The 21,927-nt window shown below is 46.4% G+C and overlaps 4 annotated features.

Moving 5' to 3' along the window:
• Positions 3,568 to 3,637: a silencer, noted in NCBI's record as "silent region_5018". NCBI's record gives its function as "represses an Ori minimal core promoter by ATAC-STARR-seq in GM12878 lymphoblastoid cells {active_cell/tissue: GM12878}" and the evidence as "EXISTENCE:reporter gene assay evidence [ECO:0000049][PMID:35858748]".
• Positions 3,705 to 4,605: an enhancer, noted in NCBI's record as "H3K27ac-H3K4me1 hESC enhancer chr12:123122624-123123524 (GRCh37/hg19 assembly coordinates)". NCBI's record gives its function as "activates a minimal SCP1, AML or CMV promoter by ChIP-STARR-seq in naive H9 embryonic stem cells {active_cell/tissue: H9 hESC(naive)}" and the evidence as "EXISTENCE:reporter gene assay evidence [ECO:0000049][PMID:30033119]".
• Positions 12,771 to 12,840: an enhancer, noted in NCBI's record as "active region_7233". NCBI's record gives its function as "activates an Ori minimal core promoter by ATAC-STARR-seq in GM12878 lymphoblastoid cells {active_cell/tissue: GM12878}" and the evidence as "EXISTENCE:reporter gene assay evidence [ECO:0000049][PMID:35858748]".
• Positions 12,931 to 12,990: an enhancer, noted in NCBI's record as "active region_7234". NCBI's record gives its function as "activates an Ori minimal core promoter by ATAC-STARR-seq in GM12878 lymphoblastoid cells {active_cell/tissue: GM12878}" and the evidence as "EXISTENCE:reporter gene assay evidence [ECO:0000049][PMID:35858748]".

Here is a 21,927-nt window from a genome sequence, read left to right on the forward strand (position 1 = left end):
ATTGAGGCTAGTTGTGGCAGGAATATGCCTATGTGACAAGCAAAGTATGAGAAACACCTGAGATGCTATGTTGGACCCTGATTCCAAGATGCTGTATACACACATCACTGGTTCTTGCTCTGGGTGGGGATAGTGTGTCCAGCCACAGCCCTTACAAAAGGGAGGATTGTGGGAGACTGCGCCTAGTTCTCCAGAGCCTTTGCTCTGAAATACCGGTTGGCCGGGACACATATTCTTAATTTAATGCCATTGCTGTATTGAATCCTTTTCTTGTAATAAACGAGGTTTGTAAGCATTGTCATTTTGGGTCTTGTGACACTCCTTTAGGCACTGAACCCTGTTGAAACTGCCACTGTTAATGCACATATTGTAAAAAACAAAAAAAGATGAAAAAAATATATATATTGTCTGCCTCTGGTCCTTTATCCAGGATAATTTTAATAATATATTTTACTTGCCCCAGTAGCATATCCAAAATATGTTGACGTGTAATCAATATGAAAATATTATTAGATATTTTACACCTTTTTTTCACACTTAGTCTTCAAACTCTGGTGAGTGATTTAAATTTACAACATATCAGGCCAGGTGTGGTGGTTCATGCCTGTAATCCCAGCACTTTGGGAGGCCAAGGTGGAAGGATCGCCTGAATCCAGGAGTTCAAAATCAGCCTGGGCAATGTGGTGAGACCCCGTCTCAACAAAAAATACAAAAATTAGCTGGGTGTGGTCCTGCATGCCTATGGTCCCTGCAACTTGGGAGGCTGAGGCAGGAGGATCACTTGACCCTAGGAGGTCGAGGCTGCAGTGAGCTGTGATCATGCCACTGCACTCCAGCCCGAGTGATAGAGTGAGACCCTGTCTCAATAAATAAACAGCATAACTCAATTTGGGCTAGCGACATTTCAAGTATCTAATGGCCATATGTGGCTAGTGGCCACCGTATTGGCCAGTGCAGTAGAGACCAGGATGACCCATAGTTGTACATCCACTTTCCCTTCTTGAGCCCATTGCTACCCTTCCTGGGTCGTTGTTAATTCCAGTGTTCTTTAAACACGCAGTGCCCCCAGGCAACCACAAATCTCTACCAATCGATTGGAATTGTGTGTCAGAAGAAACTGGCTTACCCTCCTGGTGTAGACGGCTTAGCAAGAAGTCAGGGAAGTGCAAAATCAGATTGGACTCTTGGTCGAGGGATTTTCCCTGGAGGATGTGGTTGGAACACTCTAAAAGGGAGAAGAGCAAGAAAAGGCGCAAAGCTGGAACTGTGGGGCAGGGTGAGAGGAGGGAGAAAAGCACGTTGGCACCTTGACACCATAAACAGGTGGTATTTTTAGGCAGGGAAATAACAGAGTGAACTTGATGTTTTTAGGAAGATGAACTTGACAGCTGCGGGTAGGATGAATTGGCTAGAAGGATTGGAGGCACTCCCAGATGAAGAACTATTTAAATTGCCCAGGAAAAATTACATGCATTTATTTCTACTTTTTTTTGGTGCTTATCGCCCATCATTCCTTCTTTTTGAGATTTAAGTGTAAAGGGCTGTTTTGAGCAGCTCTGGATGTTGGTTACTCATTAATCTACTCATTAATCAGCAGAGATTTGTCCATGATGCTAGTTGTTCCATTTCCTTTAGGGGATAATAACCTTGTGTTATGAATTGCACCTTTATCAAATTAAGAGAAAATGAGAAAGCAGCTTTGTGATAACAACTTTGAGACCAACTAAAAGAAAATAGCTGACTGGGCGCAGTGCCTCACGCCTGTAATCCCAGCACTTTGGGAGGCCAAGGTGGGTGGATCGCTAAGTCAGGAGATTGAGTCCATCCTGGCTAACACGGTGAAACCCCGTCCCTACGAAAAAAAAAGAAATTAGCCGGGTGTGGTGGCAGGCGCCTATAGTCTCAGCTACTCGGGAGGCTGAGGCAGGAGAATGGCATGAACCCGAGAGGCAGAGCTTGCAGTGAGCCAAGATCACGCCACTGCACTCCATCCAGCCTGGGCGACAGACCAAGACTCCGTCTCAAAACAAACAAACAAACAAACAAAAAACTATTTGTAAAAATACTTTATGTGGTAGGAACAAAACTTATGTTCATGACGTACTTTTAAACAGAAGTTTTAAAATGGGCCAGATGTGGTGGCTCACGTCTGTAATTCCAGCGCTTTGGGAGGCTGAGGCAGGAGGACTGCTTGAGCCCAGGAATTGGAGACCAGCCTGGCAAACATGGCGAGACCCTGTCTCTACAAATTGTTTTGTTTTGTTTTTTTTGAGATGAAGTCTTGCTCTGTCGCTCAGCGTGAAGTGCAGTGGCGCGTTCTCGGCTCACCGCAACCTCTGCCTCCCGGGTTCAAGCAATTCTCCTGCCTCAGCTTTAAATTAGCTGGGCGTGGCGAAGGCACGGTGGCTCACGCCTGTAATCCCAGCACTTTGGGAGGCCAAGGCGAGCGGATCACAAGGTCAGGAGATTGAGACCATCCTGGCTAACACGCCATGGTGGTGGGCGCCTGTAGTCCCAGCTACTCGGGAGGCTGAGGAGAAGCAGAGGTTGCAGTGAGCCGAGATCGCGCCACTGCACTCCAGCCTGGGCGACAGAAGCGACAGAGCAAGACTCCGTCTCAAAAAAAAAAAAAAAAAAATTAGCCGAGCATGGTGTTGTGCACCTGTAGTCCCAGCTACTTGGGAGGCTGAGGTGGGAGGATCGCTTAAGCCCAGGAGGTCAAGGCTTTAATGAGCTGTGATCATGCCACCACACTCCATCCGGGGCAACAGAGACCCTGTGCCAAAGAAAAAAAGATATGTATGGAAAACACAAACACTTAGGGTGTGATCAGTTCCTCTGGCAGGTTGCATTTTGTTTCTTATTTCTCTGCATCACATGGTTTTATAAAATCATGAGCCTACTGCAGGTACAATTTTTTACTTTGTATTCTTTTCTCTGCCACTATAAACTTTTTAAAATATTATTTTTAGTAATAGTGTTTTTATTTTTAATGATTTTTTATTTTTAATGAAAAGCCATGCAAGCTCAGGTTCTAATTCTGCTTCTGTGTATAGGTTTATGAGTCGGACTGAATTTTGTAATCTCCCTGAGTCCCTTTTCTTATCCATAAAATGGGGATAATATACCCGCTTCAGTGGTTTCTGTGAGGATCAGATGAGATGATAGATGTAGGCAATCCTCAGCCCACAGCAAATCCTCAAAACTCTTAGGTCACCCCCTGGAGCTATTCTGCACACTTAGACTGTGCTAATATATTTTCACTAAGCTTTTTCCATATTTGGAATTATTCCCTTAAGATACATTCCCAGGAACAGATTTGCCAGATCCAAGGGAATGAAGGGAACATTTTAAAGCCTCCAGTTGCAAATTGCCACACTGCATGCATTTCAAAAGGTCTTCCTCACAAATCCCCATTCCCACCAGCAGCGGATGCACGTCCACTTTACTATGTCCTCAAACCATGTTGCTCATCTGATAGGTTAAAACGGCATCTCACTGTTCACATTGGTGTTTCTTTATTTGTGTGATTGAACCTTAAGAGAACCAGTTAGAAGGCTGCAGTCGCAGATGGAGTCTGGAATTGTCCTCTTGGGCGTAAGCGTGCAAGGCCCAGAAGAGGTCAGGTGGTGGCACTAGAACTTAACAGATGTGATGGACTGTCACGCTTCTTTGACTCTGGAGCTAAGCTAAGAAGGAGTGTTTCCAATGCCCACATTGGTTTCTTGTTCAGAATAAAGTTCTGATACATAAAGGGTTAGCTTTCAACATGTTGGAGAAGTCACTTTTTTTGGATCATAACTGTTATTTGAATTTGTTATATTTATTTATTTAGAGACGGAGTCTCACTCTGTCGCCCAGGATGGAGTACAGTGGCGCGATATCAGCTCACTGCAACCTCTCCCTCCTAGGTTCAAATGATTCTCCTGCCTCAGCCTCCCGAGTAGCTGGGATTACAGGAGCCGGCCACCATGCCCAGCTAATTTTGTAATTTTTTTTAGTAGAGACAAGGTTTCACCATGTTGGCCAGGCTGGTCTTGAACTCCTGACCTCAAGTAATCCACCTGCCTTGCCCTCCCAAAGTGCTGGGATTACAGGTGTGAGCCACCTGTGCCCAGCCTGAATTTGTTTTAAAGTAAGATTAAATATACAGTTAGCCAGGATTGGAGCCAGGATGGGGGCCGGGAGTGGTGGCTCATGTCTATAATCCCAGAGCTTCGGGAGGCTGAGGTGGGAGGGTTGCTTGAGCCTAGGAGGTTGAGGCTATAGTGAGCTATGATCGCACCACTGCACTCCAGCCTGGGCGGCAGAGCGAGACCCTGTCTCTAAAAAAGAAAAAAGAACAGAAAAAACAGCAAGGTTCCTTCTTGTCATTGTTCTATTTATTATATTTCTATTAGCTGTGATTGCCATCATTATTTTTATTATTCTACCCTTGTCTCCATACAGTTATTTTCCATACTGTTGCCTAAGTATATTCTTAAAACATAAGCCGGATCTTGTCCGTGGCTGGCCTCAAACTTTTCACTGGCTTCTCATTTCACTAAGCATAAAACCCAAGTTGCAGAAAACACTTCCCTTCTGTTCGAATTAGAAGCAGGGGTCATCTCCAGGAAAATGGATTATAAAAAGCCCCTCCTTTGGGCAGATCTAACATAAAAAGACACCCCCTTGGGTAAGGTCAAAGTTTTTTAAAAGCGCTGGATTTAAAAGCTGGATTTCGTTTATGGCTCGGTGCTGCCTGCCTGTCCATACCGTGGCTTATAAGGTCGGTAAGATCTAGGCCCAGTCTGCCTTTCCAGCCTCAACCCCTGCCACTCCTGCCATATCTCAGACCAGCCTTCTCTCTAGCCTTACCCGACCAGCCCAGCTAGTCACCATCCCACATCCCCAGTCCCTTGCTGTGACGTCACTCTATTCACTGTCTTCCTGCTGCCATCCAGGGTTATCTTTATTTACTTGTTTATTGACTAGCTCACTGGAATATTGGCCGGGCGCGGTGGCTCACACCTGTAATCCCAGCACTTTGGGAGGCCGAGGCGGGTGGATCACCTCAGGTCGGGAGTTCGAGACCAGCCTGGCCAACATGGTGAAACACTGTCTCTACTAAAAATACCAAAACTAGCCGGGTGTGCTGGCGCACGCCTATAATCCCAGCTACTAGGGAGGCTGAGGCAGGAGAATTGTTTGAACCCGGGGGTCACAGGTTGCAGTGAGCTGAGATCATGCCACTTCACTCCAGCCTGGGCGAAAGAGCAAAACTCTGTCTCAAAAAAATATATATATTTCTACTAAAATAATATATGTTGAAAGATATTGGGAGTATGTGCTCAAAAGTTTCCACTGAGGAGCATGCAAAAAAACCTTGGGGTCACTGGTCTCTTCTTCCTGGGACACCAGCATTGCATGAAAAAGAAACTATTACCCTAAGCACGTCTTTATACTTATGTGGCTACCCCCATCTGGATAGAAACAATCAACAAAATTATTCAGTCTTATTCTCTTACTCAAAAATAACTTAAAAACTACCCAAGGGAGGGATCCAATGTGTTTATTTAAGCACAGATAATGTATTCCAAATCTCTGGGCCCAAGGAGAAACAGCAGAAAGAAGCTTGAATATCTTCTGTCTCACTGAGCCAGGTTTTCCATCACCACAAAGTGGAATGAGAACACCCCACTAATTCATTCTCTACTCCGAATAGAGAAAAAGAATTTGGCTGCTTCATTCCAAGCAAGAGATGGTGGAAGGAGGCCCTTGAGTCTTGAGGATTAAATAGAGCGTCTTCATGTATTTAGCGGTTGCTAACTTTCCCCATTTTTCTTATGTATAATGAGGCACTGCCATTTGTTCATGTGCTCATGAAGCATCCAAGGAAGAGATTTTACCCTGAAAACGCGTAGCTGAAATTCATTAATTTCATGACTACTTAAGAGTCTGCTATGTGCCAGGAACTGTTCTGGGGTTGGGGGATGCAAGATGAACACCATGATAAGGTCCCTCCTGATGGCATGGAGTTCTTTTTTTTTTTTTTTTTTTTTTTTTTTTTTTTTTTTTTGAGGCGGAGTATTGCTCTGTTGCTCAGGCAGAGTGCAATGGTGTGATCTCAGCTCGCTGCAACCTCCGCCTCCTGGATTCAAGTGACTTTCCCACCTTAGCCTCCCGATTAGCTGGGACTACAGGCTCCCACCACCATGCCCAGCTAAGTTTTTTTTGTTTTTTTTTTTTTTTGAGACAAGAGTCTCACTCTGTCACCCAGACTGGAGTGCAATGGCATGATTTCAGCTCACTGCAACCTCCGCCTCCTGGGTTCAAGCAATTCTCCAGCCTCAGCCTCCCGAGTAGCTGGGACTACAGGCACCTGCCACCACGCCCGGCTAATTTTTGTATTTTTAGTAGGGACAGGGTTTTGCTGTGTTGGCCAGGCTGGTCTTGAACTCCTGACCTCAGGTGATCCTCCTGCCTCGACCTCCCAAAATGCTGGGATTACAGGTGAGAGCCTCCGCACCCGGCCTGAACTGCTTTTTCTTTCTAAGTCTTAAAAACAAGAACAGAAACAACAACAACAAAAAAAAACAGCTTTCCTGAGATACAGATAACATATCATACAATTCACTCACTTAAAGTCTGCAATTCAAGCCAGGCAAGGTGGTTTATGCCTGTAATCCCAGCACTTTTTTTTTTTTTTTTTTTTTCCCTGAGGCAGAGTCTCGCTCTCGCCCAGGCTGGAGTGCAGTGGTGTGATCTCGGCTCACTGCAAGCTCTGCCTCCCAGGTTCACGCCATTCTCCTGCCTCAGCCTCCCAAGTAGCTGGGACTACAGGCGCCCGCTACCATGCCCGGCTAATTTTTTTGTATTTTTAGTAGAGACGGGGTTTCACCGTGTTAGCCAGGATGGTCTCGATCTCCTGACCTCATGATCTGCCCGCCTCGGCCTCCCAAAGTGCTGGGATTACAGGCGGCGTGAGCCACCGTGCCTGGCCTATCCCGGCACTTTTAGGAGACTGAGGTGGGAGAATTGCTTGACCCCAGGAGTTCGAGACCAGCCTGGGCAACAAAGTGAGACCCTGTCTCTACAAAAAATACAAAAATTGGCGAGGCACGGTGGCTTACGCCTGTAATTCCAACACATTGGGAGGCCGAGGCGGGTGGATTACCTGAGGTCAGGAGTTCAAGACCAGCCTGGCCAACATGGTGAAACCCTGTCTCTACTAAAAATACAAAAATTAGCTGGGCGTGGTTGGTGCATGCCTGTAATCCCAGCTAATCCAGAGGCTGAGGCAAGAGAATCGCTTGAACCTGGGAAGTGGGAGTCACAGTGAGCTGAGATCGTGCCACTGCACTCCAGCTTAGGCAACAGAGTGAGACTCCATATCAAAAAACAAAACAAAATAAAAATACAAAAATTAGCTGGGTGTGGTGGCAAGCATTTTTTTTTTTTTTTTTTTTTTTTTTTGAGATGGAGTCACTCTGTTGCCCAGGCTGGAGTGCAGTGGGGCGATCTGGGTTCACTGCAACCTCCACCTCCCAGGTTCAAGCGATTCTCCTGCCTTAGCCTCCCGAGTAGCTGGGATTACAGGCGCCCACCGCCATGCCCAGCTAATTTTTGTATTTTTAGTAGAGACAGGGTTTCACCATGTTGGACCAGGCTGGTCTCCAACTCCTGACCTCAGGTGATCCGCCCACCTCGGCCTCCCAAAGTGCTGGGATTACAGGGGTGGGCCACTGCCCTCGGCCTGTGGGATGCACTTACAGTCTCAGCTACTTGTGAGGCTGAGGCCAGAGGATTGCTTAAACCCGGGAGGTCAAGGCTGCAGTGAGTCATGATCTTGCCACTGTACTCCAGCCTGGGTTATAGAATGAGACTGTCTCTAAGTGAATAAATAAAGTTAGCAATTCAATAGTTTTTAGTATATTCACAGATACATATAACCATTATCACAATTTTAGGACAGTTTCATCACCTCTAAAAGAAACCCTTCAGCTGTTGTCCCCCAATCCCCCACCCCAATTCTCCCTAAGCAACCCCTTTTCTGCTTTCTGTGTCTTTGGATTTGCCTATTCTAGGCATTTCCTATAAATGGAACCGTACAATATATGGCCTTTGTGTCAGGGTTGTTTCACTTAACATTTTCGAGGTTCATCCATATTGTAGCAGGGATCAGAACTTCGTTCCTTTTTATGGGAGAGTAATGTTCCATTGTGTGGATAGACTGCATTTAGTTTATCCATTCATCCATTGAATAACATTTGGGTTTGCATAGGGGAAAAACAAACTGTTTTCTACCACTACACACTCAACACAGAACGCTTCTGTCACCAGATGCTAGGGGTTTTTTCCCACACCAGGCAGTTCACTTCTCTGCAGACACCGATTTGCACTATCTGCCTGGAGATAGCATGACATGCCACAGGTTACCAACCCAGTGCCACAAGACTGCCCCCGTTGGAGACGCCAATCACAAGTGGTGAGTTCCCAGGTTTTTCACAACTTTTGCTCAACTTGGCTACAAATCAGAGGTTCTCATGACCCCCTTTTTGGTTCTATAATTTGCTAGAGCAGCTCACAGAACCCAGGAAAACAGGTTACTTACTAGATTATTATAAAGGATATATTAATGGCCAGCAGTGGTGGCTCATGCCTGTAATCCCAGCACTTTGGGAGACCTACTAGACGGAAGGATCACTTGAGCCCAGAGTTCAAGACCAGCTTAGGCAACATAGTGAAACCCCATCTCTACAAAACAAAAAAGTTAGCCAGGCATGGTGGCATGCACCCGTAGTCCCAGCTTCATGGGAGGCTGAAGCGGGAGGATCACTTGAGCCTGGGAGGTCGAGGCTGCAGTGAGCCATGTTATGCCACTGTGTTCTAGCCCGGGCAACAGAGACGGACCCTGTCTCAAAAACAAAAAAACAAAAAACAGAGGATATATTAAAGGATTCAAATAAACAGTCAAATGAAGAGATAACATAGGGCGAGGTTTGGAAGGGCCCATGTGCAGGAGCGTCTGTCCCCATGGGGCTGGGTTGCACCATCTTGGCACATGGATCTACTGTAGTTCACTAGCCCCGAAGCGCTCTGCATCCTGTAGTTCAGGGATTTTTATGGAGGCTTCATCACGTGGGCATGATTGATTATTATAATAACTCAGTCTCCAGCTCCTCTTCCTTTCCCAGCAGATGGGGGATGAGCCTGGAAGCTTCAAGCTTCTAACCACAGTTTGGTCTTTCTGGTGACCAGCCCCCAACCAGGAACCCACAAAAAGTTGCCTCATTAGAACAAAAGATCCTCCTATTACCCAGGAAACCCCAAGGGATTAGGAGCTCTGTGCCAGGAGCTGAGGTCAAAGACCAGATATTAGAACAAAAGAGGCACCATGCTAACATGCTTGTTGCCCAGGAAATTACAAGGGTTTTAGCATCCCAGGAACTGGGGACTAAGACCAAATACATATTCTTCTGTCATAATATCATACAATTGCTTCTACCTTTGGCTATTATTAAAAATATTGATATTTCCTGTAGCCTTTTAACCACCTTGACAATTTTAGGGTGATTTTTAATTAACTTGCTTCAAAATAGATACACAGGTTCAACTCATCTTTAAAATGTCAGTTAAGGACTCTGTGAATTAGTACTGAAACGGGAAAGGCTTCCTTGTCGCAGGAAGTGTGATGGGGGAGTGGCTGGTTTCTTCCGTGCCCTGCTGCTCAAACCTCTAGAAGAGCATACAGACGGGCAGGCTGTGGGACTCCAACCCCACGGCAGCGTCTAGGGGTGAGTGTTTATAGCTGAAGCCCCAGTGGGCGTGTGTTACAGTGTGCTCTTTTAGTTTAGCCATCTATAGGCGGCTTGTGTTAACAAGCTGAATTAGGCCCCCTTATCACAAGGACAGAGGGATTTCTGTATCCCGGGGTTTCTTGCCTTGGTGTACTGGAAGAATCGGATCACACTGGGCTTGGCGAATGAGAGTGCAAGGTTTTATTGATAAGTAGCTCTCAGCAGATAGGGGAGCCAGAAAGGAGATGGTTTTCTTCGGGAGTCGGGCGGCTTCTTCGCAGCCCGGGCTCTCCTCCGACTGCCCAGGCCAAACTCCGCCTCATTCCCCCAGTCAATGGCCTGATGGCCTGTAGGCATGCCAGTGTCTGACTATGTGCTCTTCCGCCAGCGTGCTACCCTCGATGTCCTCTCGATGTCCAGCCACCTGTGTCTGCCTGCTAGGGTCTCGGGGTTTTATTTTATTTTATTTTATTTTGAGATGGAGTCTCGCTCTGTCGCCCAGGCTGGAGTGCAGTGGCGCGATCTCGGCTCACTGCAGGCTCCGCCTCCCGGGTTCAAGTCATTCTCCTGCCTCAGCCTCCTGAGTAGCTGGGACTACAGGCGCCCGCCACCACGCCCGGCTAATTTTTTATTTTTGTATTTTTAGTAGAGACGGGGTTTCACCGTGTTAGCCAGGATGGTCTTGATCTCCTGACCTCGTGATCCGTCCGCCTCAGCCTCCCAAAGTGCTGGGATTACAGGCATGAGCCACAGCGCCTGGCCGGTCTCGGGTTTTTATAGGCACAGGATGGGGGCATGGGGGGCCAGAGTAGTCATGGGAAATGCAACATTTGGGCGCGGAAGGCAGGAGTGCCTGTCCTTACCTAGGTCCGTAGGGGTGGAGCCCTAGCCAGTTACCACACCCTCCTTTACCCAGCATTTCCCTTCCCCCCTTCCATATCATTTAAAGGGACCACGCTCTTCCCCTCCCAGCACTCCCATATCAGTGCAACCACTATGGAGAAGTTTGGAGGTTCTTTAACAAACTTAAAATAGAGCTACCATATGATCCAGCAATCCCACTACTGAGTGTATACCTAGAAGAAAGGAAATCAGTATATGGAAGAGATAGCTGCACTCCATGTTTATTGCAGCCCTATTCACAATAGCTAAGACTTGAAGAGACCTAAGTGTCCATCAACAGATAAAGAAAATATGCTACATATACACAATGGAGTACTATTCAGCCATAAAAAAGAATAAGGTCCTGTCATTTGCAACAGCATGGATGAAACTGGAGGTCATTCTGTTAAATGAAATAAGCCAGGTACAGAAAGACAAACTTCACAAGCTCTCACTTATTTGTGAGAGCTAAAAATTGAAACAATCGAACTCATGGAGATAGAGAGTAGGATGGTTACTAGAGGCTGGGAAGGGTAGTGGAGTTGGGGGAGGAGGGGGACGTGGGGATGGCTAATGGGTACAGAAAATAGAAAGAATGGGCGGGGCACGGTGGCTCATGCCTGTAATCCCAGCACTTCAGGAGGCCGAGGCGGGTGGATCACCTGAGGTCAGGGGTTCAAGACCAGCCTGGCTAACATGGTGAAACCCCGTTTCTACTAAAAATACAAACAATTAGCTGAGCGTGGGGGCACGTGCCTGTAATCCCAGCTACTCGGGAGACTGAGGCAGGAGAATCGCTTGAACCCAGGAGGCAGAGGTTGCAGTGAGCTGAGATCACGCCATTGCACTCCAGCTTGGGCAACAAGAGTGAAACTCCGTCTCAAAAATAATAATAATAATAATAATAAAATAGAAAGAATGAATAAGACCTGGTATTGATAGCACAACAGAGTGACTATAGTCAACATAATTTAATTGTACATTTTAAAATAACTAAAAGAGTATAACTGAATTGTTTGTAACCCAAAGGATAAATGTTTAAGGTGATGGACACCCCATTCACCCTGATGAGATTATTACGCATGGCATGCCTGTGTCAAAATATCTCATGTATCCCATAAATATATACACCTACTATGTACCTAAAAGTTAAAAATTAAAAATTAACAACAAAAGGCTGGCACGGTGGCTCACAGCTATAATCCCAGCACTTTGGGAGGCTGAGGCAGGTGGATCACTTCAGGTCAGGAGTTTGAGACCAGCCTGGCCAACATGGTGAAACCCCATCTGTACTAAAAATACAAAAATTAGCTGGGCGTGGTGGCGCGTGCCTGTAATCCCAGCTACTGGGGAGGCTGAGGCAGGAGAATTGTTTGAACCTGGGAGGCGGAGATTGCAGTGAGCCAAGATTGCACCATTGCACTCCAACCTGGGCAACAGAGCAAGACTGTCTCAAAAATAAATAAATAAACAAAAATACAAATTAACAACAAAAAAAAAGACTCTCTGGTCAGACTTTTTCACTCCCTGTCTTGTATCCGGGATACAATTCTCTGCACGTTTCATGCTGTTTCAAGTCTTTGCTCCCCTTCCCTCTTTGCCTAACTAACTCCCACTCCCTCTTTATGACATGATAGTTACTTAATATCCAAGTTCCTGGAATTGCTTGAAACTGTCTCATTTAATATGAATATACATATATGTAGGAAGCATTAGGACATTCCTTATATTCAAAGAGCTAATGTAATGAATCAGGAGGAAATGTTATTACCTCAAAACCAAATGATTGTCAACTCATGTTTTCTGATGTTATTTAGGTAGGCTTGGTAACTTGGTTATATCTTAAAAGGGTACATTACTCATAACCCACATTATATTTCATACCTCAAAAGAAGAAGTGGTAATTTACAAAACTTCATCCCTCCCCCTTCCCCGTGGTGCCATGTGCTTGGCAGTTGGTGTTTTGGTCAGATCTAAGAAAAGTTTCATCATCAAGCAGTATGAACACATGTGCCGGTGAATCTCTGTCTCCCTTTTTTTTAATGACTCATAACCGGCCACAGGGTACCACATTTAGGGTGACAGCTCTACCATTCACGAGTTTGGCATGTAAACACAAGATCCCCACGTGCAGATCTATTGATGGGTGGTCTTTTCTCAGAAAGGTACATTCTTCTGGCTCGGTCTAGATTACCGGTGGGATTTTTCTATGTTTCATTTTTACTTCTGTGCTTTCGGAAGGACAAAGGGAAGCTGACAGCGAGGGTGAAATGAAAACGTAAGTGATAAGGGTTGTAAGAAACAATGAAAAAGATGTTTTTTGTTGGCTTTTTTTTTTTTTTGGAGATGGAGTCTCACTCTGTCCCCCAGGCTGGAGTGCAATGGCGTGATCTTGGCTCACTGCAACCTCCACCTCCCGGGTTCAAGCGATTCTCCTGCCTCAGCCTCCCAAGTAGCTGGAATTACAGGCATGTGCCACCACACACGGCTAATTTTTAGTAGAGACAGGGTTTCGCCATGTTGGCCAGGCTGTTCTTTAACTCCTGACCTCAAGTGATCCACCTGCTCTTGGCCTCCCAAAGTGCTGGGATTACAGGTGTCAGCCACCATGCCTCGCCAAAACAACAGAAGTTTATTTTCTCATAGTTCTGGAGGCCAGAAGTCAGCAATCAAGCTGCCAGCAGATCCACACTCTCTCCAAAGTCTCTAGGGGAGGATCCTTCTCTGTCTTTTCCAGGCATCCCCTGGCTCATGGCCACGTCACTCCAATCACTGCTTCTGTCTTCATGTGGACTTCTTCTCTGTCTGGCCTCTTCTGTCTCTTCTAAGGACACTGTCATTGCCCACCCTAATCCTATATGATCTCATCTTGATCCTTATCTTAATTCCATCTGCAAAGACCCCATTTCCAAATAAGGTCACCTTCTGAGGTTCCCGGAAGACATGAATTTAGCAGAGGGCACTCTTCAACCTTCAACCTACTACAACCTCCTTTCTCAATTTCCACTGCTTCTGCCTTTGGGTGAAGTATAGAATCCTTTAAATAACAGTGTGCTTTCTGTGTAGTTATTGATTAGAAATAATCTGGCCAGACACAGTCGCCCACGCCTGTAATCCCAGCACTTTGGGAAGCCAAGGTGGGAAGATTATGCGAGCCCAGGAGTTTAAGACCAGCCTGGGCAATATAATGATACCCCATCTCTAATAACAATGATGATGATAATAATAATAAATAGAAGTAATAATCATAAGTTTTACTGAAGTCAACTAACATACAGAAAAATACAGAAATTATAATAGACTTTCATGAAGTCATCATGCCCGTGTGACAACACTCAGATCAGGTAACAGAACATTCCCAGTATAGATTAGGAATCATATTATTTCCATGTTTTAGTTTTTAAAAATTATAGTAAAATAGGCCGGGCACGGTGGCTCACACCTGTAATTAATCCCAGCACTTTGGGAGGCCAAGGCAGGTGGATCACCTGAGGTCAGGAGTTCGAGACCAGCCTGGCCAACATGGCAAAACCCCGTCTCTACTAAAAATACAAAAATTAGCTGGGCATGGTGGCACATGTCTGTAATCCCAGCTACTAGGGAGGCTGAGGCAGGAGGATTGCTTGAACCTGGAGGCTGAGGTTGCAGTGAGCCGAGATTGTGCCACTGCATTCCAGCCTGGGCGAAAGAGTGAGACTGTCTCAAAAACAAAACTTATAGTAAAGTATACATAAAATTTGCCGTCTTAATAACTTCTAAGTGTTCAGTCCAGTGGCATTAAATACATTTATTTTCTTATACAATCATCACTACCATCCATCTCCAGTTCGATCTTGTGAAACTGAAACTTTGGACCCATTAAACACTGACTCCCCATTCTTCCTCACCCCAGCTCCCGGCAACCACCATCCTACTTTCTGTCTCTGGATTCAACTAATCTAAGGACCTCGTATAAGGGGAATCATGCAAGATTCGTCCTTTTGTGACTGGCTTATTTCACTCAGCATAATGTCCTCAATGATCATTCATGTTTGCAGTGTGAGCCAAAATGTCCTTCCCTTTCAATTTTGTTTATTTTATTTGTTTTTTCTGAGAGAAACTCACTCTGTTGCCCAGGCTGGAGTGCAGTGATGTGATCTCAGCTCGCTGTAGCCTTGACCTCTCAAGCTCAAGAGATCCTCCCACCTGAGCCTCCCAAGTAACTGGGGCCACAGGTGCACACCAGCATGCCTGGCTAATTTTCACATTTTTTTTGTAGAGACAGGTTTTTGCCATGTTGCCCAGGCTGGTCTCGAACTCCTGGACTCAAGCGATCTGCCTGCTTTAGTCTCCCAAAGTGCTAGGATTACAGCCACTGCACCTGGCCAGAATGTCCTTCCTTTTCTTTTCTTTCTTTCTTCCTTTTTTTTTTTTTGGAGACGGTGTTTCACTCTTATTGCCCAGGCTGGAGTGCAGTGGCATGATCTCGGCTCACTGCAACCTCTGCCTCCCGGGTTCACGTGATTCTCCTGCCTCAGCCTCCTGAGTAGCTGGGATTACAGGCATGCGCCACCACACCTGGCTAATTTTGTATTTTTAGTAGAGACGGGGTTTCTCCAAGTTGGTCAGGCTGGTCTTGAACTCCCGACCTCAGGTGATCCACCCGCCTTGGCCTCCCAAAATGCTGGGATTACAAGCGTGAGCCACCACGCCCAGCCGTCCTTCCTTTTCAAGGCTGAATAATACAGAAACCGTAGTTTTTTGAAAGGTGATCAAAACCTCCTTTGGATTTTTATGGGTAAGTCTTTAATAATTTTCATCCCTGAATATAATTAATAAACAACATGTGCTTTTATTTCCTTCCTGGTAACACACAGAACAATAATTAAAAATTTCCTTTTATTTATTTAATAAAGACAGTGTCTTCCTATGTTGCCCAGGCTGGTCTCAAACTACTGGGCTCAGTCTTAAAGTGCTGGGATTACAGGCATGAGCCACCGTGCCTGGCCAACAATCTGTGTTTCTTTAGTGTTTTCTTCCTTGATAGTCAAAGATGTTAGTTGTTTAGGTTTTTAAACGAGAACCTAGCCCTCTGCCTGGGGCCTTGAGGTTTTAGCAATGTTACTCAATCTCGTGTACTTTTTTTTTTTTGAGATGAAGTCTCCCTCTGTCGCCCAGGCTGGAGTGCAGTCGTGTGATCTCAGGCCCAATCGCAGCTCACTACAACCTCCGCCTCCTGGGTTCAAACGATTCTCCTGCCTCAGCCTCCTGAGTAGCTGGGATTACAGGCGCACACCACCACACCCAGCTAATTTTTTTGTATTTTTAGTAGAGACGGGGTTTCACCATGTTGGCCAGTCTGGTTTCGTGCCTGGCCAGTCTCATGTACATTTTAATTATCCCTGAATCTATAGAAAAGCTACAGAATCAACAGGTTTCCAAAGTGGATGCGAGCAGCTGGAAGAGAGATTCTCAATGGTCATTTCTTCCTCTTCTTTTTTTTTTGAGACGGAGTATTGCTCTGTTGCCCAGGCTGGAGTGCAGTGGCACAATGACAGCTCACTGCAAGCTCCACCTCCCAGGTTCACGCCATTCTGCTGCCTCAGCCTCCTGAGTAGCTGGGACTACAGGTGCCCGCCACCACGCCTGGCTAATTTTTTGTTTTTGTATTTTTAGTAGAGACGGGGTTTCACCGTGTTAGCCAGGATGGTCTTGATCTCCTGACCTCATGATCCGTCCGCCTGGGATTACAGGCTTGAGTTACCGAGCCCGGCCCATTTCTTCCTCTTTCCTCTTCCTTTCTTTGGCAGCTGAGTCACAGGCAGACCCCACAGGCCCCTGACAGTTGTTTAGATTTAGCTCTATGTCCTCATCCTGGCGGTCCCTCAGAAAGTCAGCAGGATTTTGTTTTGTTTCCTTTTATTTTAGCACACTTACTCATTGTTTTGGAAATATCTCACATTCCAGGTGATTTAAGACTTTTTTTTTTTTTTTTTTTTGATAAAGTATCTCGCTCTGTGGCCCAGGCTAGAATACAATGGCGCTATCTCGGCTCACGCTCACTGCAGCCTCCACCTCCCGGGTTCAAGCAACCCTCCCACCTCAGCCTCCAGAGTAGCTGGGAGTACAGGCATGCACCACCATGCTCGGCTAAGTTTTGCATTTTTAGTAGAGACGGAGTTTCTCCAATTTGACCAGGCTGCTCTTGAACTCCTGACCTCAGGTGATCCACCCGCCTCGGCCTCCCAAAGTGCTGGGATTACAGGCGTGTGCCCAGCCAACACCTGGCTAATTTTTGTATTTTTAGTAGAGATGGGTTTTTGCCATGTTGGCCAGGCTGGTCTCAAACTCCTGATCTCAGGTGATTTGCCCACCTTCGCCTCCCAAAGTGCTAGGATTACAGGCGTGAGCCACCACGCCTGTCCTTTTTTTTTTTTTTTTTTTCAAACAAGGCCTCTCTCTGTCACCCAGGCTGGATTATAGCATGGCAATCTTGGCTCACTCTAACGTTCATCTTCCAGGCTCAAACAGTCCTCCCACCTCAGCCTTCCAAGTCACTGGGACTACAGGTGCCTGCAACCATGCCCGGCTATTTTTGTATTTTTTGTAGAGACAGGGTTTCACCATGTTGCTGAGGCTGGTCTTGAACTCCTGGGCTCAAGCAGTCCACACGCCCCGGCCTCCAAAAGTGCTAGGATTACAGGCGTGATCCACCACACCCAGCTGATTTAAGGTGTCTTGACTAAACAACTCACCTCTTTCTAGATAAGACCCGCTGAATGTGAACTTCCAGCTGAGTAGGGAAAAAAAAAACAAAACTCCAAGATGTGAAGATAGAGAGGAATGTAATTTCATAGCCCTATTAGAAATTCTCAGAGAGATAAATCTGAATTCATCCTGGCTAATTTCCTTCAACCTTTATAAACAAGTATAACACCTTAATCAGCATAGGCACAGGACCTGTTTCCCTTAATCCATCAGCTGTGAAACAGGTTTTTATTGTAGGCGACTTAAGTCATTTATTTTCATAGTTTATACATTACACAATGACTTCGGTCCAAGTGCCAAGAAACAGAGCAAGATCAATTCCATCAACACTTGCAAAGTATTAATCCCTTATATGAGCCTTTTTATTTTTTTTTTTTTGAGACAGAGTCTTGCTCTTTCGCCCAGGCCGGACTGCAGTAGCACTATCTCGGCTCACTGCAAGCTCCGCCTCCCGGGTTCATGCCATTCTCCTGCCTCAGCCTCCCGAGTAGCTGGGACTACAGGCGCCCGCTACCACGCCCGGCTAATTTTTTGTATTTTTAGTAGAGACGGGGTTTCACCGTGTTAGCCAGGATGGTCTCGATCTCCTGACCTCGTGATCCGCCCGCCTCGGCCTCCCAAAGTGCTGGGATTACAGGCGTGAGCCACCGCGCCCGGCCAAAAAATTATTTATTATTATTATTGTTTAGAGACTGAGTCTCACTCCATTGCCCAGGCTGGAGTGCAGTGGCGTGATCTTGGCTCACTGCAACCTCCGCCTCCCGGGTTCAAGCAATTCTCCTGCCTCAGCCTCCCAAGTAGGTGGGATTACAGGCCCGCACTACCACGTCCGGCTAATTTTTGTATTTTCAGTAGAGACGGGGTTTCACCATGTTGGCCAGGCTGGTCTGGAACTCCTGACCTCAGGTGTTCCAAGGAGTTCCGCCCACCCCTTGGCCTCCCAAAGTGTTGGGATTAAAAGCGTGACCCACCACGCCCGGCACTTTATATTAGCCTTTAAACGCCCTCATCCAAAAAAGCCCACCCCAGCTACATTATCTTTTCTCAGAAACTTTTTTTTTTTTTTTTTTAAACAGACAAAGTCTTACTCTGTCTCCCAGGCTGGAGTGCAATGGCTCACTGCAGCCTCCACCTCCCGGGCTCAAGGGATCTTCTCACATCAGCCTCCCGAGTAGCTAGGACTACAGGCATGCACCACCATGCCCAGCTAATATTATTTTTTGTAGAGACAGGGTCTCACTATGTTGCCTAGGCTGGTCTGAAATTCCTGGCTTCAAGCGATCCTTCCACCTCGGCCTTCCAAAGCACTGGGATTACAGATGGGAGACACCGTGGCCAGCCTGAAACCTTTCTCCATGTGGAGTAGAGCAGGAAACGTAGGGGGCGGCCACACCAGGCCTTTTCAGAGCCATGGAAATGTGAGGGAAAGGCTGTGGAGGGAGCTTCTTTCCCCTGCCCCGCACACAACCTAGAGATGCAGAAAAGACAGTATGTGGCTTGCCCACAGCACAGAGCATTGCATCCTACACCGAGGAAGCATGGGCTGTCCACGGCGCTTGGTCATGTTTCAGGGTCAGAAGCTCTCAAATCCCCTGAGAGAAGCGACACAGACTTCAGTGGCATTGCCAGTGATTCCATCTCACCTCTAGTACTCAGGGCTGACAACTCTAATTACTTTATTCTATTTATTTTATTTTATTTTATTTTTTATTTTATGTATTTTATTTTTTTAATTTAATTTTATTTATTTTATTTTTGAGACCGAGTGTTGCTCTGTCTCGCAGGCTGGAGTACAGTGGCACAATCTTGGCTCACTGCAACCTCTGCCTCCCAGGTTCAAGTGATTCTCCTGCCTCAGCCTCCTGAGTAGCTGGGATTACAGGCGCTCACCACCACACCCGGCTAATTTTTGTTTTTTTTGTTTTTGTTTTTGAGATGAGGTTTCGCTCTTGTTACCCAGGCTGGAGTGCAATGGTGCGATCTCAGCTCACTGCAACCTCTGCCTCCTGGGTTCAAGCGATTCTCCTGCCTAAGCCTCTGGAGTAGCTGGGATTGCAGGCGCCCACCCCCATGCCTGCTGCCATGCCCAGCTAATTTTTGTATTTTTAGTAGAGACGGGGTTTCACCATGTTGGCCAGGATGCTCTCAAACTCCTGACCTCAGGTGATCCCCCTGCCTTGGCTTCCCAAAGTGCTGGGATTACAGGCATGAGCCATCGCTTCCAGCCTGTAATTATTTTAATATTGTACCTAAAGCCAGTCCGTCCTGTGTTTTGGAACACTAAGGCTGGTTAGAGATACCTGGAAATATGAGACCTGGGTTCATCTTGGGAATCACACACACACACACACACAAACACACACACACTCACAATCCTTTCCTAACCCTGAGAAGTAAATACTGTTGAGAATTCTTCATCATTAGTTATTTACCTACAAGATGAAAAAGCTCAGCTGGGCACAGTGGCTCACGCCTGTAATCCCAGCACTTTGGGAGGCCGAGGCGGGCAGATGGCTTGAGCCCAGGAGTTCATGATCAGCCTGGGCGACATAGCAAGACCCTGTCTCTACAAAAAAAAAAAAAAAAAAATTAGGCCGGGTGCATTGGCTCACGCCTGTAATCCCAGCACTTTGGGAGGCCGAGGCGGGCAGATCACGAGGTCAGGAGATCGAGACCATCCTGGCTAACATGGTGAAACCCCGTCTCTACTAAAAAAATACAAAACAATTAGCCAGGCGTGGTGGCAGGCGCCTGTGTTCCCAGCTACTTGGGAGGCTGAGGCAGGAGAATAGCGTGAACCCGGGATGCAGAGCTTGCAGTGAGCCGAGATCGCGCCACTGCATTCCAGCCTGGGCGATAGAGCAAGACTCTGTCTCAAAAAAAAAAAAAAAAAAAAATTAACCAGGTGTGGTGGTACATGCTACTCAGGAGGCTGAGGCGGGGAGTACGAGGCTGCAGGAAGCCATGATTGCGCCACTGCACTCCAGCCTGGGCTACGAAGACCCTCTCTCCCCTCCAACCAAAAAAAGATGAAAAAGCTCATTTCTTTCGCTTTTGCTGTAGCAACATGTTGTGTCATCATTTCTGTCCAGCGAGGGATACACAGGGATGTGAAAGGGCCACTGTCAGTCTAGGGATTCTTCTTCCCATTGGATAAAACTAACACCTTGGGTTTGCTTTTTCAGAACCTCGAAGTCTGTATCAGTTAGGGTGTTTTTGGCTACAAGTAATGGAAAACCCAGCTAGAAATGGCTTTAAGCAAAGACATCATTTATCGTCTTGCTTAATCAGAGGTCCAGAGTTCCCTGAACAGGCCAATGACATGGCCGAGCTCCGTCTACCATCTCATCCCCCATCCTCTACATGCTGATTTGCTCTTTGCTTGTCTCCTCACAATGCAAAAAGGCTGAGCCACTCCAAACCTTCTGGCCTTGCAAGAATTTTCAAATATCCTTTTTTTTTCAAATGAGGTGAAATTCACATAACATAAAACTAAACTTTTTATTTTTTAAAAAAAATTCATCTCCAGCCACGTCCTTTTGAAAAACTAATCATTTTAAAGTGAACAATTCTGACCGGGCGTGGTGGCTCACATCTGTAATCCCAGCACTTGTGGAGGCCAAGGCAGGCGAATTACTTGAGGTCAGGAGTTCGAGACAAGCCTGGCCAACATGGTGAAACCCCATCTCTACTAAAAATACAAAATAATTAGCTGGGTGTGGTGGCTCATGCCTGTAATCCCAGCACATTTTTTTTTTTTTTTTTTTTGAGACGTAGTTTCACTCTTGTTGCCCAGGCTGGAGTGCAATGGTGCGATCTCGGCTCACTGCAACCTCTGCCTCCTGGGTTTAAGCGATTCTCCTGCCTCAGCCTCCCGAGTAGTTGGGATTACAGGCATGTGCCACCATGCCTGGCTAATTTTGTATTTTTAGTAGAGATGGGGTTTCTCCATGTTGGTCAGGCTGGTCTGGAACTCCCAACCTCAGGTGATCTGCCCACCTCAGCCTCCCAAAGTGCTGGGATTACAGGTGTGAGCCACCGCGCCCGGCCAACCCCAGCACTTTGGGAGGCCAAGGCGGGCAAGTCATTTGAATCCAGAAGTTTGAGTCTAGCCTGGCCAACATGGTAAAACTCTGTTTCTACTAAAAAAAAAAATACAAAAAAATTAGCCGGGCATGGTGTCGGGTGCCTGTAATCCCAGCTACTCGGGAGGTTGAGGCAGGAGAATCACTTGAACCGGGGAGGTGGAGGTTGCAGTGAGCCAAGATCACGCCATTTCACTCCAGCCTGGGCAAAAGAGCAATAGTCTGTCCCAAAAAAAATAATAAAAATAAAATAAAGTGAAAAATTCTGTGGCATTTAGTACCTTCACCATGTTGTGCAGCCACCACCTGTATCTAGTTCCAAAACATTTTCTTCACACCCAAAGGAAACCCCATACCCATCAAAAACAATCCTCCCCATTCCCCGACTCTCAGCTCATCTGATTTCTAAGTATTTGCTTATTCCGGACATTTCA

Source organism: Homo sapiens, chromosome 12, assembly GCF_000001405.40.
Source record: "Homo sapiens chromosome 12, GRCh38.p14 Primary Assembly".
In the NCBI taxonomy this organism is placed as follows: Eukaryota; Metazoa; Chordata; class Mammalia; order Primates; family Hominidae; genus Homo; species Homo sapiens.